The following is a 21,095-nucleotide window of genomic DNA, read 5'->3' on the forward strand; positions in this document are numbered from 1 at the left end:
TTGTGAGACAATCTGCAAAAAGAGGTTGATGAGAGATCCATTTTAAACAAGCCAAAACCTCTATTATTCTTTGAAGGGTCCAGATTGTACTTTGCACCAAGCAGGTGATCAGAGTAAATTCTTTCTCTACCTCTTTTCAAAACAAAAAAACAACTTTAACAATTCCTGAGGTGGGTATTTTTTTTTTTTTTTTTTTGAGACAGAGTCTTGCTTTTTTGCCCAGGCTGGAATACAGTGGTGCAATCTCAGCTCACTGCAACCTCTGTCTCCCAGATTCAAGCTATTCTCCTGCCTCAGCCTCCTGAGTAGCTGGGATTACAGGCGAGCACCACGACGCCCGGCTAATTTTTTTTTTTGTATTTTTAGTAGAGACGGGGTTTCACCATGTTGGTCAGGCTGGTCTCGAACTCCAGACCTGATGATCCACCCCCCCCCGGCCTTGGCCTTCCAAAGTGCTGGGATTACAGGTGTGAGCCACCGCGCCTAGCCCCTGAGGTGGACCTTTCTACCATCCATGTTAGTAGATCCATTTGCATGCAGGCCACCTAAAAACAGGCCACACCTAACATTTTGTACAGCCATACAAAGCCACTAAGTGGGAACTCCCACCTGGGGCTCTCCTGTGGGTATGTTCAGCTTGTGTGCTCTCTTTGTCTTCTCTATGACATCATTCAATGTTATTTATTATGTAAAACCACAGGACAGGAGTGATCTCCTGCATTGTGTTATGCTTTGTAACTGCTGACGCACCATATTTCAGCTTTGTTATTTTGTTTTAGCCCGAATCACACAAAACTACAGCTAATAATTTTCTAGGAAAAAAGCAATTTAAATATTAATTAATGTGAAATAAACCTATTCATTCCACTTAGAGTATTATGGTTGTTAGGGATTTTATACTTGAAAGTATGGCCAAATATATCAATGAGAATTAATGAACTTCTGCTACACACCAAAATGTAGATAAATCCCAGAAATGTAATGTGAAGCAAAGGAAGCCAGACACACATAAAAGGTGCATACGTTATAATTCCACTTCTATAAAGCACAGAAACAGATATTTAACCTAGGCGGCTGCAAATCAGGTGAGAGGTTGCCATGGGTGGTGGTTTGGGGCAGGGCAGGGAGAACCACAGTCAACCGGGAGGAAGGCTCCAGCAAGCTAGTTAGGGTTTCTTTCTTGCTGTCTGTGCTGGTTACATGGGTACATTGTTACTGACAATTCACTGAGCTAAACTCTTATGATACATGTACTTTTCAGTATCATATACTTCGATAACAAGTTTAAAATGCATAGAAAAGAAAGAGAAATAAATGTTTCTATACCATAAATTTTTGAAGTTTGCTGCCTGTCCAAAAAAAAAAAAAATTCCAAATGTCCAACTTACCTCCTTAAAGGGGCCCTTAAACCACTTAGACAAACAGCCTTGGAGCAGAAATCAAAGGACTTGATGTCTAGGCTTGTTTGTCTGACCTTGCACAAAGCCACTTTAAGTTTCTCGATCTATTTCCTCATCTATCAAAAAATAGAATAGGATTACATATTCTCTGCATTTATTTCTTGAATAAGTGAAGTGAAGGAATATTACAACTCTAAAATTTTAGTCTTTCTTCTTGGTTCAAAACTCATTATTGAACGGTGTCATTGACTTGGTTGGAAAATGTGTCCCTCTTCTCTGAGAGCATGGACTTTGGGGTCAGACAATGTAGATCTGTTACTTATTATCTATCTGTAGGAACTCAAGACAGTTACCTAAACTATCTGAACCTCAAGCACTTCATCTACAAAAATGGAAATATAAATGCCTATTTTACATGGCTCATGTTAAGGTTAAAGAAAATGTGTATAAGCCAAGTGCTTGGCATATAATAGCTACTCCATAATGATGCCTGCCATTCATGTTTGACTGCTTAAAACTCAATGTAAAATCAAGCAACATTACAGTAGATGCAAGTCTTTGCTCTTCACCTGCCTTCCTCACCTAAGAAAAATAAAGATTTGGAAACCAAGCACATCAGATGTTCTCTTTAAGTCCTATAGTAAGTCGACTTTCTATGAGGGACAGTGTTATCACAAGTTGTAGGAATGCCAGGTGCCTGTTTGTTTCTCTACTTACCTAAAGAAAAATAAAATCCAGCCTCATACCAGTCCCGAGCTGGCACTACATCTGAAGAGACCAGAAGCAGCAAGTGAAGAAAACAGTTTTTGTTTCCATTAGGCTGGCCACAAAGTTATTTGAGCCAAAAGTCTTTCAAGAATTTCTCTGTTAAGAAATAAAAAATCCAGCTGGGTGCGGTGGCTCACGCCTGTAATCCCAACACTTTGGGAGGCTGACGTGGGTAGATCTGGTGTGGTCAGGAGTTCGAGACCAGCCTGACCAATATGGTGAAACCTGGTCTCTATTAAAAATATAAAAATTAGCCAGGAGGCCGGGCACGGTGGCTCATGCCTGTAATCCCAGCACTTTGGGAGGCCAAGGTGGGTGGATCACAAGGTCAGGAGATCGAGACCATCCTGGCTAACACGGTGAAACCCCATCTCTACTAAAAGAAATATAAAAAATTAGCCAGGCGTGGTGGCAGGCACCTGTAGTCCCAGCTACTAGGGAGGCTAAGGCAGGAGAATGGCGTGAACCCGGGAGGCGGAGCTTGCAGTGAGCCGAGATCGTGCCACTGCACTCCAGCCTAGGCGACACAGCAAGACTCCGTCTCAAAAAAAAAAAAAAAAAAAAAGTAAGTAGCTGGGCATGGTGGCATGCGCCTATAGTCCCAGCTACTCGGGAGGCTGAGGCAGAAGAACCGCTTGAATGCAGGAGGTGGAGGTTGCAGTGAGCCGAGATTGTGCCACTGCACTCCAGCCTGGGCAACAGAGTAAGACTCCGTCTCAAAAAAAAAAAAAAGAAAAGAAAAAAGAAAAGAAATAAGACATCCATATGGTGCATGAAAACTGACAAGACAGCATGAGCTTGGGACAATGAGAGGAACCACAAAGTATCAAATTGTGTTTTAAATGATGATATCTGAAATACACACAGAGGGAAGAAGGGAAAACAAAGCCACAGGACAAAACAATTCAATATAAAGTCCATTGTACCACCAGTGGGCTATCAACTAAATTGTCTTAGCATTCACACTTCTCGCAAATTTGTGATCAATCATATAATCGCTTCTTAAATTGATAAATGACATAAAGGATACATTATATTTTGTCTTAGATATTTAAGGGTTTTTTTTTCTTTAAAGCAATTTTCTGTGTAGTGAAATGCTGGCAAGTTGCTATCTAAGTCCAAAACTATGCCAGCCAACGCAGTCGCCACTAGCCACATATATGGCTACTGAGAACTTAAAATGTGTCCAAACAAAAATTGAGATGTTCTACAGATATAAAATATACCTGGAATTTCAATCTGAATACAAAAAATAGAATGTAAAATATTTCATTAATAACTTAGAGCTATATGTTAATATAATATTTTGAATATATTAAGTCAAAGACATTAAAATTAAATTTAAAATTTTTAAAAATGTAGTTACTTTACAATTTAAAATTAGATGAGTGATGTGCCTAGTATTCCTATTTAACAGTACAAAACTTTAAAGTTTTGCATTTGGTCTTCAAGTAACCTATATCATAGATGCATATAAAATTTATAAAATCAGGAAATTTCAGAATTATTAAGGGAAAGTAGAGCAGAGCCCCAGCAATGCACAACTCCAGGGGGCGCTACTCGCATCACAATCTGTCAAAAGTGATCCTCAGGACTTCACAGGGCTCAGCCTGCATGGCCCTGTATTGAATGCTGTGCAATCATTCTCCCTATAAAATCAGCAATCCCTTCTAGAACATCCCTGGGGCAATCCCATAAAACTTTTCAGCACCCTCCACATCTGTTGCAAAACATATAGAGAGTAATAAGACAAAAATATATAAAGTGAGTGGAGAATAGAGCTGACCGTACTCTAGGATGAAGAAGATGGCCAGAGCAACACCAAGTATGCAAAGTCTGAGATATATACAAGGATGCAGTGTTCTCAAGAAGGCTGTTTCCTTCCTAGAGACTAGAAGCATTTTTCAGAGGGTAATATTCACTTTAATTACAAAATGCACCCGCCTCTCTCTTCCAAGGGAGAAAAGCCTGTTGTTGCATTTATAATGTAGCTTTAGTTTTTGATGCCAAAAACGATTCAGTAAACACAGTTATGTTATGATATACTATTTCTTATTCAGTACTCAAATTAATCTCAAGGCAGTGCTGGCATTAATTCAATTTGACGCCTGTACTTAGGATTTCACATAGGTGCCTTCATCCAGTTCTTCTTTGCAACTAATAAAATCTTAATTCATGGTAATATATTTATTTCTAGTTCAGTTCATGTTAAGGAGTGCAGTACTTTACAGAAAACTAATTAATATCAATCATATATTATAACACTTTTAATGGTTCATAGGAAAATCCTACACTGGGGGAAAGATTAGATGAACCAAGGGGTCTTAGCCCATCCTATTTACTCTATTTTTAGGACTTGAGAAAAAAGAATATCAAGCATCATTTCAAATATAAATTTAATTGAAGGTGTGCATCATAGGATGGCTGGGAATTAAGAACCCGGGTTCTTATCCCTAAAAGGAAATTGATTTGATGTGGCCCAAGAATGTAATTTACACCCTCAGACTGTTTTCCACCTATTTTGTGTAATAACCATATAATTTGCAGTCGGTGAAGATATTTAAATGGAGATGCATGGCATTATTAAAATAATGAACAACTTCACTAATAGCAAGCCTTCTGCAATTGTTGGTAACAATTCTACTTTTACATAATGTTTGAGTAATGTTGAGAGCATCATATTTCTGGAGATTGTACACATAGCCAGCAGGATAGTTTAAGTGTGAGTTCTTGACTATGAGTTCCTGGAGCCATGCAATACAGTGGTCCTCGCATTTCCTTAAGGAGCTACATTTAAAAAGCTGAATTCTCCCCCAGAAAACTGGAGCAGTGGATTACACAACTCTAAAAATCTTTAAAAATAAAAATTAAAAAGAATGCACTAGATCACTTGAAATGCATGGTCATAATATCCAGTCTTCCCAAATTAGGCATTTTATTCACTCTACAACAAATCCTCCACACTGACAAACGAACAGCTTTAAAAAAAAATGAAGTATACTACACACTTCTCTCTTTCTTTTTAGCAATCTACACACAAAACCTCCAAATCTGGTATACACACATATATGTATCTTTAAAAGCCCTCATCACCAGAAATAAAACAAAACCCACCTACCAATAGCATAAAGCCTCCTAGGTGCAGACATAATGCCTCCTGATACTCACTTTCAAAATTGAATCCATAGATGATAACCCCAACATGTGTGTCATTCATTTTACTGCAGTGCAAATACTGGTATCATGAGATGAGGGAACACTCACAACAAGGGCTTCGGCAGGCCACTTTTTAATTCACAAGGGCATGGTGACGTGGGAGGGCATCTCAGAGTCACTACTAAATGAACTCCACAATAGGGCACAAATCTGAAACCCAATCTTAGCCAGATACGAACGTAAGAGCAAATATGTACAGTATCATGTGCTTTCCAGCAGCCCTGTGTCTCGAGGGAGCTCTCTGACATCAGCAATTGAGACAGGTGGTTCCCTTTCCAACCCGTGGAAAATAAAACCCTAGTTCAGAGGCACTAAGTAAATATAGCAGTACTGTAATTTTTCCTTGGTGCACTCTCCCTGTGATTTCTGTCCTATGATGACACTTTATCCCGGGAACCCATTCAGGACATCCATCCATGCCCATAACTGACTGAACATTTGCAAACTGGTTAATATTGACATTAAAGAGAGTGTAGAAGACTCTGTTTTATGGCCCCAGTTGGTAGAGCTAGGGTTTTCCTCCTCTCATTTATTTGGAATACGTTGTCAAGTGGCTGCTCAAAACTTTACTGGATTATTTCACCCTTTGTCCCCTGTTATTAATATAACCCAACAGAATGACAGACAAGAGTCAGACCATCTTAAAATCACATGCACAGAGCAGGTCAATACCAATCATATCCAGTTTGAGTCTGAGAGCTAAAATCAGCTGAGATGTACTAAGCCCTTTGTGGTCACAACTATTTGCTTTTGAATTTAAGAATTACTCACAGAAGGGCACCCCATAACGTGTGTATAAAATTACTTAATTCAGCTTCTATTTCCCTTTCTGAACATAGATACTTTTACACTCTGACAGCCGCTGGCTCTTAAAGCATTCTCCTTTTTGTTGTATCTCCTTAGAAACACAAATCTTGTTCCCTGGCAGCGGTGGCGCTAAGTGCTGTACCACATGCCCAAACTAGTTCTCCCTCGCAGCTTTAATTCACAGTAAGTGGCATGAAAGGAGGTCAACCCTTCTCAAAAAACACTCGGAGTTCTTTTCGACTTCAGAATCTATTTTGGAAAGCCCCACTCCCTAGTATGTAAAGAGCAGCTTCCCATTTTGAAATTCTGGCCATAACTATTGACAACTTTATGGAATGGTCCACAAAAGGGCAAACATAGGGATATGATCACACTTTCAACTCTTGATCCTAATTCTCTGTGGATTCTGGAAACGATGTCAGACAAGGAAGTCAACAACTGCCATCCACTCTTCGCCCCCAGATAACCCTTTTCATTTGAAAACTACTTATGGCATGCATACATGTTATGGCTTTTCTTCCCTGAGGTGTTCATTGAATGCTTAACTCAATAATGCCATCTTAATCCTGAAAGTTTCCATGGTGACCTACAACTGTAATAAACAAGTCTAAGGAATGGAAAATGAAGTCAGGTCCTCTTTTTTCACCCTATTCTTCTTCACCTTTACAAATGCAGCCTTCTCTGCTTCTCTAAGTTCACAGTTCATAGATTTGGTGGCTAGAATAAAAATAAAAATAGTAATACAGAAATAGCATCCAGCATTCGGTGAATGTTTACTGTATATCAAATGCTGTGCTGAGTAGTTCTGTAGATTATCTCATTTAATCCTTACACTAACAGTAGAAGTAAGTATTATTACTAATCTGATTCTAGGGATAAAATCACTGAAGTTGAGAGAGGTTAAGTAACTTTTCTAAAGACAAAAGCTTGTAAGTGGGAGACCAGAAACTTCAAGACAGTCTTATTTGGCATCAAACATTTTGTTCTTAATGATCAGGCTATGCAGAAAAATAGCATTTTTTGTTTGTGCCCAACAGTCGCATAACTTAGACATCTAGGAGTCTCTTCACAAATCAGAAGGGAACCACAGCTTCATGTTCAGCAGGAAGATAAAAACACCACACACATCCAGCTAAAACCACCAGGGAAATTAAGAAAAGGCAGGACTCAAAGATGAGCACAGCCAACACATGGCACCCTGCTCTGATCAAAAGAAGCCTTACAACAAGTGTCTCTAAATTTGATCTGACATACCATTTAAAAGAGTGCACTGTTCTTTGCAGATCAACCCCTACAGTTAACTTGGGGTGTCTGATTCAGGTCACTGAAGCACACCCCCAAGGAGAAGAAACACTTATTATAATGCCACCCTTCTCCTTAAATGAAATGAAGGCTCCTTTTGAAGATAGCAATTCCAAACAAAGGCCGGAGTAAAACACATATTATGACCACATGAAAAATCTTATTATAAAGATGTTTTCCAGCCGGGCGCGGTGGCTCATGCCTGTAATCCCAGCACTTTGTGAGGTCTTGGTGGGAGGATCACTTGAGATCAGGAGTTCAAGACCAGCCGGGCCAACAGGGTGAAACCCTGTATCTACTAAAAATACAAAAATTAGCTGGGCATGGTGGTGCATGCCTGTAATCCCAGCTACTCAGGAGACTGAGGCAGGAGAAGAACCCAGGAGGTGGAGGTTGCAGTGGGCCTTGACGGTGCTACGCACTCCAGCCTGGGTATTGAAGTGAGACTCTGTCTCACAAAAAAAAAAAAAAAAAAAAGAAGATATTTTCCATGCTACAACTGTGTTTCCATGAAGTACATACAGTATGTTTATCTAATCTAGAACAGACCTTAACAAATAGACTTTAACTTTGCCTCTTAGCATCAATAGTAGAATCAACGTCCAACAGATATTTTGCAGCCCCTGCTTGGAAATGTAGTCAAATATGAAAAGGGTCACATGGATTAAGGTCACTCAAAACTCACTGTGGTGCCAGCCTTCAGAAAGTGGGGCTAAAATATGTGGCTTTCTGATCTCCTCTCATTTAGGAAATAAGAATAAAACAAACTCCACTAAATTTATTTCCAAAACTGTAGGCTTTGGGAACTTTGTGGCTCTGATTCAGGAGTAATCATAGCTAAGCTCCAGAGTGCCTGGGTCACCTGGCAGTCTGGCGAGCTATCACTCAATAGGGCAGTATCCAAAGTAAATGGCCCAGAACACAAAACCAGAAGAGACTGCCTCTCCTGATATCTTTACACTTTCTGGAGCTAGAAGAACAAAGGCCATTAGGGATGACCTATGGCTATTTAGAGTAGACCCGTGAATACTAATTCTGAAACCCCTACTGCCACCATCACCATCGCACCTAAAAAAACAAACAAGGAAGAACGAAACATAAACCACTGATTATAACCGAGTAGCAATGAAAGTTGCATGCATTGATTCTGTAATAGTTTGATGTCTGACGCAAAGGTAGTGATTTATTTTTTAACAACTAACTTTGTAAGAAAGCATTAAGTTTACATTCATCACCCTTTCTCGATTTGCAAATTATGCATTTAAAGACACAGACCTCAAAGCAGAATTAGAACTCAGTCACATGCAGAATACGTTGGTTGTGAAGGCTGTGCATTCAGTAAGGAGTCCCAGAGACACAAACCTGAGTGTGAAGTCCACTTCAGTACACCCTACCTCAATACCACTAGTTAAGCTGCTTAACTTGTCTGATTCTTTATTTTTCCATCTCGAAAATGGGGATAATACCTACCTCACAGACTAAACATGGGAATTCAAGAGGACTAAGTAAATGGTTGTAGATGAGGAGCCTTTTAGAGCGCCTACTCTGCAGTTCGCACTATATAAATGCCCTTTTCTACGTAGTTCGAGTGGCTCAGCTTCAGTTAGCTTTCTGTTCTCCTAACCTTTCCTCTTCTTCCTTACTTGGGGCATTTTAAAATAAATGCACACATTAAGATTTCTGCATGTTTTATCCCATGAAGTGGGCGTTGGGACTCAGGAATGCACAAACATGTATGGGAAGCAGCGGCTCATGTTTCCCTCTCTGTGGGTGCCTTGCGCACATGGAGAAGGAAGAAAGAAGAAAACTGTTTGGGGCACAGAGTGAGCCTCTAAAATCAATGTGTAAGAGAGGCATTTTTGAAGATTAAAGATTTGTATGAAAAAAACTGAAAACTTTGAAATGGACAAAGTGATATTTGAATTCACTACCGATGCTTCGTCATGGGATGTTGGGGCACATGTTTGTGGAAAGGTACAGTGCACATTGCCACCAAGTGTAACTCTTTAAGAGAACGAGCGACAGTGTCTGCATTTTCCAATTTCAAGTGCCTCTTTAGGTATTTATAAGCAAAATCATCAAGAATTAAATGTGAAAAATTAAAATTTTAAAAATTCCAAAAATAGGCGAAATGCAGTAATTTCTCACTCAGAATAAAAGGAAAACTTGTAAGCTAGAGCACTTATATGTACTGAAGCTTTCTTTGAATATCTGTATCATAAAACTACACTATAACTACCCAAAGTTGAAAATAAGTAAAATAAATTGGTGACATAGGAGAGAAGAAATGTAAGCATAAAATTCATAGATTATATCTCTAAATATTATAAGTAGCCACCACCACTCATAAGGAGAATAGGGAACAGGAAAAAAAAAAAACACCCTACTTGGAAAATTATCCAGAGAAATATATCTCTTCAATTCATGTGTACAGTAGTTATTTATGTCTCAGTCAGTAACTTTAGACACGTCAAAGGGTGCAGAACAGACTTTATTCTTCCCTACATGAACTCTGCCTATGAAATTCTAAATGTTCGCAGTCTTTCTACCTTATAAAGTTGATCCTAAAAAATTAAAATTAAAACTAAAAATCCTTGATAAAATGCTCCACTGGGGTCCAATAACTACCTTAGCTCCATGATGCCAGGATAAACAGACACACATCACAAAGCTCTCTACACATGGGTGCATGTGTGGGAATGTGTGTATCTGCAAATGTGTAGAACACAAGATAAAAGTGGAAACCTCAATCAGAATTCACTACACTCCAAATGATAGTTCCGCAACATCCCAGGTGCTTAACTTGTGTGAGATTTTATTGCTGTCTTCTCTGAAGCTGCTTACAGTCTGAGTAAATAGAAGATCCAACATGTAATCAATCAAAATATCCACATGTGATTAGTACAGTAGTTGAGTGCATTGAAGGAGAAGTGGTGGGGATCAGCCAGGGTCTTGAAAACAGATCTAATTAATCTCCGAAACATCCTAGAATGAGTATGCCAGTCAGGCCCTATGAAGACTTTTATAGGTCCCTGACCCGTACGTAATTTGAAATAAAAACTAGACTCATTACTAAATTATGTATGTATAGAGAAGCTCAGTAAAGTCCTAATATTTGTCATAATAGCAGCTACAATTATTACTTTAAAAGATCAAATATAATAGTCTTTTAAGGAAAAATGACTGGTGCCCTACGTTGGGCTTGTGCATTGCTGGATGCCCTAATCATGAGGTTAGCATAGTACTGGCGAAACCTGCGTGGATGCCAATGTACAGATATAGGAAAATAGGAATGGTTTGGCAAGACCTTGCTTATTCATTCATAGCCCCTCTAATAAAAGTTCTGGGATCCAGAACAAATGGTTACAAGAGTCATACTTGGCTGGAGAAGAACACATGGATTCCTCTGGCTTTTGAGGGGTGCCTGCTGGGACCCCAGGAAAGTGACAGGCAGAAGGAGGAGGGATGATGAGGGAGAGACAGCATTCCCTTTGACATGAGGCCAATCTGGAGGCAGAACCAGGCTGTGACACTTCCTAACTCTTTGAAATGGGCCAAGACCCTGAATGTCCCTGGGCCTCTATAAAATAGAGATGAAACCACTATCCTTATCAGTGTATAAGGATCAGATACCTAGCTTGGCATCTAGTAGACATTTGGTAAATGTTAGTTCTTCTCAATACTAAGGAGGCTAGAAAATAAAAAGTCCTAGTGACAAATGATGAATCATACCAGGTCCAATGTTAGCTGCTAAGGGAAATACAAAGAAATATGAAAGGTAGTGGGAGCCAAGATTTGGCTCTCAACCAGGTGGCAGAATGCAGCTGCTAACGTGATTTTATTGTGAAAATTGTTCTTTAATCCATAAAATAGCAGCAAGTCACTAGAAGACCAGAGACATAAAATCAAGAGTAGTTTACAATGAAAATAGGCATGTATATTTTACACATATATATGTATATGTGTGTGTATATATATAAAAAATATATATCTATATTATATATAATATAAATATATAATATATAATAAATATATATAAAATATATAAAAATTTATACATATATAATATATAATATATTATATATAATATATATAAATATATATTATATATATTAATATATATTAACCCTATATATTATTATATATATTAACCCTATATATAATATTATATATATTATATATTATATATATTATATATTATATATATTATATATATTATATTATATTATATATATTATATATATTATATATATATTAACCCTATATATATTATTAATATAATATATATATTAATATATATATATTTTTGACACAGAGTCTCGCTCTGTCACCCAGGCTGGAGCACAATGGCACAATCTCGGTTCACTGCCACCTCCGCCTCCCGAGTTCAAGCAATTCTCCTGCCTCAGCCTCCCAAGTAGCTGGGATAAGAGGTAGGTGCCACCATGCCAGCTAATTTTTGTATTTTTAGGAGACATGGGGTTTCACCATATTGGCCATGCTGGTCTTGAACTGCTGACCTCATGATCCACCTGCCTCAGCCTCCCAAAGTGCTGGGATTACAGGTGTGAGCCACCGTGCCGGCCATATATTTTATATTTTATACCCATTACTATTTAAAGTGCTTTACACTTATTATCTTATGAAATGTCAACTATTGTTATCTCTTTTTTTCAGATGGAGAAACTGAGGCAGAGAATTAAGTAACTTGCTCAGGGTTACACATGTAACATGCAGGAAGGGTGACACTTGAACCTGGGCAGCCTGGTTCCAGAATTCATGCCCTCCCCTCCCCTCAACCCCCACCCAAACTGCCTCGCTCTAACGTCTGCCAAACTTTTAAATCTTTACTGTTTAAAACTGAGTGAAGCACTAAAGCAGCATAGTTGAGTAAGACCTGGATCCTGGTTTCCCTGCAGCCCACAGCCTAACAGAGAAAATGGAATCAATGAGTCTGGAGTAACAGAGAAATCTACAGGACATAGTGAAATGCAACAGAGAAACCCAGGCTGCCTAGAATAAAGTGGAGAAGGAGAAGCAGGTGTTAGCAGAACAGTATTCCTCCCCCCTCCCCTACTTTGATATCAACCTACCTGTCCCTAGCATAGCACTGGGCACATTCAGGAAAAATGATCACCTTTGTCATCTTTGGATAATCAAAATAGCATTTCCACTAATCTTATTTACAAATATAAACAAAATAGAATCTATCCCCATAAGGTGTCACCAATCTTCAGGGGGCAGCGATGCGAACACAAATACTTCTAATATGCATCCCCATGGTTTATGGCTATGACCTGAGATCTTGAGATGACAGATACAATATAGAGCTAGAGTCCTGACATAATCACACCATCGACTTCTGAGAATTAACTGATGATTTTCCTAATGGATCATGAGTTTGAAGTATTTGCTCTTAAATGTTGATAAACTGAGATAAACAAGCATACATTTATCCAGGAAACACATGTTAAATTATAATTAGTCAATAACTTTCCAATTGGACAAGAAATTGACAGTGTCCATCAAGGACTAGAGAAATTGTGATAAGTCAATATGAATTTCACCAAGAAATATATATATATACTAACATGCATATTGGTAGCTTTAAAAAAATCACTCATTTTTATTGTGGAAAGAACCCTTAACATGAGAGCTACTTCTTAACCTATTCTTATATGTACAATACAGTATTTTTAACTCTGGGCACACTGTTGTGCAGCAGATCTCTAGAATTTAGTCACCTTGTGTAACTGAAACTAAAAAGCACCTGTTTTTATAAAGGTGTGATCCTGGAAGCTTCTCTGAAACTGCATGTCCCCAAACATAACCAACTTCAAACTGAATAATTGCAAAATGGAAAGCTTGAACCACAAAGAGACCATTAGGATAAGTCTGTAAAGATATCCAATATGAGAAATGAATTTTTTAAGTGGGGAAATTTTTTAGAAAAGGAGAGACAGAGAATTCCCAGTGAAGAGGTGGCATTTTCAAGAGTAGGTTCTAGAAAATTCCCAATGAAGAGATGGCATTTTCAAGAGCAGGTTCTAGATTGGGCTTTCTAGGTCAGACCAAGAGACAGCTTGTTGCAGAGTAGGACTTAACACCCCTGGCTTCTGACAGTGACCTCAGCTCACAGCTCTATGGCCTAAGGAAAGGTACCAAGGCTTTCTGTGTCTCAGTTTCTTCACGTATAAAGTAGGAATCACCATGCCTATATCTTAGGGTCTTATGATGATCCCATCAGGATCATGTGAGACAATACAACTGATTCTTAATCATGTGTGTCAATTTGGCTCGGCTATGGTGCTCAATTGTCTAATAAAGCACTAGTTTAGATGTTGCTGTGTGGGTTTTGTGTAGATGTGATTAATATTTATAATCAATTGATTTAGGTAAAGCAGATGACCCTCCATAATATGGGTGAGCCTCATCCAGTCAGTTGAAGGCCTTAAGAGTGAAAGCTGACGTTTCCTTGAGAAAGAATTCCCTATGAGCTATGAAACCTGCCTGAATTCCCTGTTTGCTGGCCCACACTGTGAATTCTGAACTCAAGACTGCAGTGTCAACTCTTAAATGAGTTTCCAGCCTGCCCTACCAATTGTAGCCTTGCCAGCCTCCACAATCACATGAACTAATTTCTTTTTTTTTTTTTTTAGACGGAGTCTCACTCTGTCGCCCAGGCTGGAGTGCAGTGGCGGGATCTCTGCTCACTACAAACTCCGCTTCCTGGGTTCATGCCATTCTCCTGCCTCAGCCTCCCGAGTAGCTGGGACTACAGGCGCCCACCACCACGCCCGGCTAATTTCGTTTTTTTTTTTAATTTTTTTATTTTTAGTAGAGATGGGGTTTCACCATGTTAGCCAGGATGGTCTCAATCTCCTGACCTCGTGATCCGCCCGCCTCAGCCGCCCAAAGTGCTGGGATTACAGGCGTGAGCCACCGCACCTGGCCACATGAACTAATTTCTTAGCATGCATGTGCACACACACATACACTCTCTCTCTCTCAACTGATATATGATATATATCATATTATATATGATATATATAGAATCTCTCAATTGGTAGATATTATATATATTATATATTTTATATATATATATATATATATATATAGAGAGAGAGAGAGAGAGAGAGAGAGAGAGAGAGAGAGAGAAAGAGAAAATCTGTTTCTCTGGAGAACCCTAACTGATATATCTTCCAACTTACTGAATTCTCTCTATATGGCAGGAGTGATCAAGCACTTTAAAAACTTTAACTCTTAAATCCTTTTCTCTCTGTTTCCAACCACACTCCCACATAGTAAATGAGCTTATGGAATGGAGGCCCTTCCATAGTAGTAGAACAACTGGTGAAATGTGTAAAAGCCCAGGATAGTAACTTTCAATGTGATTTCAAAACCAAATCTAGCACTCTCTGAGAAGAGGAAATGTGAATAAAATGAGACTTGGAGATATTTACAACATAAGCTCCACGAAGACAAGAACAATGTCTTGTTCACAATTATGTTCTTAGGTCTTAAAATGCTAACTGAACAACTCAGTAAACATGCGTTGAACAAATGGATCATAGAGTTCTATAGTTAAGTAGAGGCAGGTGGGAATTTTTTTTTTCTTATTACTTGGTATTAACCCAAACTATTTGACATCTGAGCTGCTACTAGAGCCTCACAGAGGAGGCATGTGCTCATTCATCCATCTGCATCCATCCATTCACCTCACATACACTGCGTGCCTTCCACATTCTACAGGCTGCACCTCAGGACGGTGAAGATGAAAAAGACAAAAGGCTTGCCTTTGAAGCACTCGCAGAGTAGTAAGTTGAATAAGCAAGTTATATTTATATTAATGTTATGTACTGGAGTAAAGCTAAGCAGGAGCTGCTAGAAAAGTCCAGAGAATGGACACCTAACCTCTTCTGGGAGGGATTCATCCTTTAAATGAATCTTTATTGAAGTCAGCTCTGTGCCAAGCACTATGCTATGCCATGAGAGTATTCCCCTAATATAATATTAAATATTAATCATGGTTAAATTTTATTGAGTGCTTATTACTGTGTTTCAGGCATTGTTGTAAGACCTTTGCATTTATTTACTGATTCTCTTCATACTAGGGAATCTGGTATGTGTTAATATTTTTTAATATCCTTTTCTATAAGACAATCATAGAGACATACATTCACATACTGCCTTTTCAAATACTTATTGATTACTTGCCCTCTAAAATACACTGTTGGGCAGCAATTTAATCAGCATATAGTGTCTGTCCTTAAAATTAGTGGAGGAAACAGACAGATCCACAATCACTACAATCTCAGGCTGTCTGACTCCCACAGTCCTGCAAAGGCCTTGTTATGAGCATAATCACAAACACACCACCTCTAAAACTTCCCCAAAACTTGAGAATATGATTTTGAACACAGCCAACACAAATGTGTTGAGAATGTTTTGTCCCATCCCTATATAAGGAAAATAACCAAAGAGAAATATTTTTAACATACATGACAGATATCTTCAAAATTGTATTTAAAAACAACTCTTTCTTTCCATGACTAACCATGCCAACGGCAGTCAGTGCGGCCTGAACCTAACATAGCTACCTTAGATGTCAGTCAATATCAAGATGTTTTCTATTACCTTCCAGCCACTGACACAAACAAAAAGCATTGTTTCTCAAGATCTAATTGCTAAGAGTGGGCACACAGCAACAGAAGATGCTGATATTAATATTTTGCATTATTGATAAATAGCAAGTATTTGTCATCAATTAACAGCAATTATATATTGCAATAATTTCTGAAGGAGTCCTTATAAATAACAATAATTTTAATTACTGGAGAAACCTACCACATCCATCAACATTCATGGCTCCCAGTAAGTATGGAGGTCCAAGGAAGTTCCATAAAACTTAAAAAGGAGGAGAGACTCCTTCGAGCTGGAGGAAAATAGCCTGTCTTCATTTCTTTTGTACTTTGGACTGACTCCATTTGGTTTTTTAATGTTTAAAATTTATTTTCTTTTTTTTTAAATGGGATTTTTGGTTACATTAAAAGCTAGGCACATAAAACAAGGCAATAGGAATATCATATCAATAGAAACACCATATCAAATCCACTTAAAATGAACAGGGAAGTAAATGCTAGAACATACCTGGAATTCACCATTTTTTGTAGCTGAGTTGTGAATTGAGCTTTGAGTTTCTTGGCAGTTTAGACAAAAATTAAAGTGTGTTGTATTAAATAAATTTCACTATCCAACAAAAGAAAACAGACTTCCCTGACCTCCCTTATTCAATAGTAACACCATCCTAGTCCCCAGCCATTTCTTTTCTATTTCTGATTCTTTTCTATTTTTCTTCATAGCATTTATCAGTTTTCTAAATTCTATCTTTGGTATATTTTCCATCTATTCTGCTAAAATGTAACACTCATGAGGACAAGAGTCTTTTTTTGTTGTTCACTGTTTTAGCTCAGCTCTAGAATAATGCCTGGCACGTGGCAAATGTGACATAGACACGTGATAGATATAGATAGTCACACAGAGAGATTTTATTCCAAATACTGAATTCCAGGAGAAATTTATCATGAAGTCCCATAAATAAATTACACCAGGCTATGAGGCTATGTTGAGGGGGAGAGACAATAGCCTGACAATTCATGACCAGCATAAAATAAAAGGCACATGCAAATGTGTAGTGACAAGGGAAAAGTATTTGGAGCAGAAGATCTAAGTTCAGCTCCTAAGGCCACCACCCCCTCCCTGTGCCTTCTATCAGGCAGCATGGCATAACTGTGAAGCATCTGGGCTCTGGAGCCAAGTGGCTTGGCTTTAAATCCTGGCTCTGCCATTTATAGGTTTATAAGCTGTGTGACCTCCAACAATTTATTTAGCCTCTCTGTGCCTCAGTTATTTCATCTATAAAATGTGGATAATACTTCAAAGAATTACTGTGGGAATTAAATGAGTTTATGTAAGTAAATCAACTATATAAGGCAATAAGTAAATTACATTGCCTGGCACAAGTAAAACAACGTACTGGCAGTTAATTTGAACTTACCCTTCATTCGTAAAACATGGATAATAACTACCTTTGGCATAGATGTAAGGATCAATTAATCTTAATATGTGATAATGTGCTTAGGTGTTTTAAATAAATGACTATTGCTTTTTATTTTCATGGAAGAATATATTCATCATAAGGCTTTCAGAAAATGCAGAAAGATAGAAAGGAGAAAGTAAAATCCCCTACATCCTAGCAAACAATGAGAACCACCATTAGCATTTTCCTGTATAAATTTCCAGATTTCTTTCTCTGCCATAATCACATGCAGATTTATATGTGCATGTGTGTGTTTATGAAAACATAATTTTTAAAGAGCTAGATGCACACGATATACTGCTCTGAAACCTGCTTTTTTAAAAAAAACATATCATGGGTGTTTCATCTCATATCTCACGTGAGTAAATAAAGATCTATATCATTCTACATAATAGCTGCCTACTATTCCATTGTATGAAAGTGCCTTGATTTATTTAGGCAATACTCCATTCACAGACAGTTAAGTTGTTTCCAATTTGTGAAAGTGCTTTGTAAACTACAAAGTAATATACAAATGTTAGTTATCATCACCACCATTTAAAAAATAAATATCCAGACATTATCATTAAACTTGTGAAGGTCTTCTCTCACTATTTCTTTAACCGGCTGGAAGTGGTGCTTCGATCTAATTGTATTAACATGAACATTTTTAAAACATGACATTTATGGATTCCACAACTGAACACACGCAAAAACACAAATGAACTACTGAGTCAGAACTAGGGGAAGGTGTTGTGGACTATTCCCAAGAGCCTGTTTCTCAGTACAACGACTGTGTTCTTGTTCCCCGCACATGCTACCTCACCCTCCTCTGCCTGTAGATTGACATCACTCACTGACTGCTGCCCTTTTCCCCAGAACCTACCCATGGCCTCAGAATTTTTGACAATGAACTCCAAGTAGTCATTATGAAGCAATTGGAACAGGCAGTAGAGACGAAATGTATTAGCTAAACCCATGTTGAAGATACAAAGAATAAAATGGGTACTTACTGAGTTGCTACCATGAAATGTGTACATGCTGTAAGTGGCAGATTTCACAGTTATATTACACCACTGCCCTCCTAGATTCTCAGCTCCTTGCTATTAGGAACCACATCATACTCTTTTCTGTGTTTTCTTTCTTTCTTTTTTTTTTTTTTTTGAGACAGAGTCCTGCTCTGTGGCCCAGGCTGTGCCATTCTCCTGCCTCAGCTTCCCGAGTAGCTGGGACTACAGGCGCCCGCCACCACGCCCGGCTAATTTTTTGTATTTTTAGTAGAGACGGGGTTTCACCGTGTTAGCCAGGATGGTCTTGATCTCCTGACCTCGTGATCTGCCTGCCTCGGCTTCCCAAAGTGCTGGGATTACAGGCGTGAGCCACCACGCCCGGCTTTTCTGTGTTTTCATCTTTTCCTGATAAAAGACCACATAAGGGTAGGTACTTAATCAATGTTGTTTATTTGTGGGTGAGCAGTTGAAATAATGAGTGAAGCCCCGATCTTATGTATTTTACAATCTCATTGATTGATAACTAAAATTAGTAGTGCCAATGTATTCTTTGAAAATTAAACCTGCCATATTATTTCTGGTAGGATGGGGTTTGGTAAGATATCCAAATGCATGAAAACAAGCAAATCAATATCGCCACTCTTTTTGTAACAATAAATTTTATCTATTAATTAATGTTGTGACTTAGAGCAAATGTGCATGGCAGGAAACAGAAGGCCCTGCTGATACCAATTTTACAGAAGGATGTAGTAGGTCCATTGAGATACATTGTGGATATCTATGCTATGGCTCCAGTGCCGGCATGAGCTGGATGGATTTAGCTTATAAAACTCTGGCCTTTCACCTGTTCAAGGCTACAATTAGCCCCTCTGTGAGTTTCATTCACTTAAAAAATATTTACTGCATGCCCAATAACTACCAGGCACTGCAATAAGTGCTAGATTTGGGGAGGTCCGACACAACAAAAATAATTTAAATTCTTTTTTTTTTCTTTTTTTTGGGGGGATGGAGTCTCCTTCTATTGCTCAGTCTGGAGTGCAGTGGCATGATCTCTGTTCACTACAACCTCAGCCCCCAGGTTCAAGCAATTCTCCTGCCTTAGCCCCCTGAGTAGCTGGAATTATAGGTGCCAGCCGTCATGCCCAGCTAATTTTTGCATTTTTAGTAGAGACGGGGTTTCACCATGTTTGCCAAGCTGGTCTTGAATGCCTGACCTCAAGTGAGGTCACCTCGGCCTCTCAAATTGCTGGGAATACAGGTGTGAGCCACAGCACCCAGTCAAAAATAATTTAAATTCAAAATCGATTATACATAAACATTTTGGGTCTCTTAATGAGACATCATGACAAATATTACTTATGGCTACCAAAGTTAGGGCTTGCATATTTTTATCTTCTAACATTAAAATATAAACCCATTGCTCTGGTCAGGAAGATCTTTTTACCCAACATGGAGGCTAGTCAGTAGATTTCATGGTCCCCTGTCTATTCTAACTATTTCATGCTGACTATCAGAAATTGTTTAAAAAATAATAAAAAGTAATAATGATTTGATCATTCCAGGGCTCTGGAAAAGTACTGCAATTAAGCAGAAATGTCTAACATGAATAAAGATAGGAGCAAGCGGCCTCTGTGTCAAGGATTTGCAATTCCTATCCTATACATTTCATGCAAACCCTGCTTCTCTGTCCTCTACTAGTCTCTCTGTTTATTCTGCTGGTTCTCTGTGACTTATTTTAGGACCCATCTATTTTATAAACCATGACCCAACATGGTTAACATTGAGTGCTTCTCCTATCCATACTGCACCTTCTAGCACTTGATTATAAATCAAGCCTCACCCTTCTCTAATTTCATCAATTGGATAGGTCCTATTTTTGAAAAAAATAATGTAAAACTCCTGAGGGCAGCAACTTTACATACACATTGTTTTAACTTGTATAGCACCAAGCATACTCCTAGCTATATCAAAAGTGCTCAACAGATACATTTAGGATAATGTTTATACTAGTCCTTATAAATGGTAGTTTGTTTCTACTGTGGTCAATTGCATTAGAAAAAAAATTAGTCTCAAACCCCTAAAAATTCGGCTTCACATACTTACCACATGCACAACTTTGGATCAATGTATTAAAATACATTGGGCCTCAGTTTCCCCATCTCTAAAATATAGAGATGGCAACACAAAGTCTCCAAGTCCCAGATTAACCTACCATCCTATGATTTTACACATCTTAGAAGGTATTATGCCTCAAGGAGGACTTTGGAGTTTGAAATATCTCTTTTCATCTAATAAAATGAGTAGTTCTTAAAAAAAAAAAAAAAGAAGTGAATTGTGAATCCCTTTAAGAGGCAGCTCAGATTTTGCTTACTCTCTCTTCTAAGTTCCCAATAAATGAATGGTGATTCTCTCCTCTTGCTTCAGCCCTTAAAAAAAGTCCATCCTCTTACTAATAGAAAATAGGATTTGAGTGATGGCCCTTACACTAATTGGTCAGGAGCCCTAGATAAAATA

The 21,095-nt window shown here is 38.3% G+C and overlaps 1 protein-coding gene across 16 annotated transcripts in view; it reads right to left on the reverse strand.

The window, feature by feature from the left end:
* The window catches only part of PPARGC1A (PPARG coactivator 1 alpha), a 680,885-nt gene that overhangs the window by 106,637 nt on the left and 553,153 nt on the right, over window positions 1-21,095 (reverse strand). The window contains exon 1 of one of the 16 annotated variants that reach the window (XM_005248132.1): window positions 5,337-5,432. The exons of the other annotated variants lie outside the window; for them this stretch is intronic. Coding sequence (XP_005248189.1) covers window positions 5,337-5,381 — 45 coding nt within the window. The 5' untranslated portion in view covers window positions 5,382-5,432. Of the gene's footprint in view, window positions 1-5,336; window positions 5,433-21,095 lie in introns of those variants that run through there. 16 annotated transcript variants of the gene reach the window in all.

The sequence above is a fragment of the Homo sapiens genome, chromosome 4, assembly GCF_000001405.40.
Source record: "Homo sapiens chromosome 4, GRCh38.p14 Primary Assembly".
NCBI classification, from domain to species: Eukaryota; Metazoa; Chordata; class Mammalia; order Primates; family Hominidae; genus Homo; species Homo sapiens.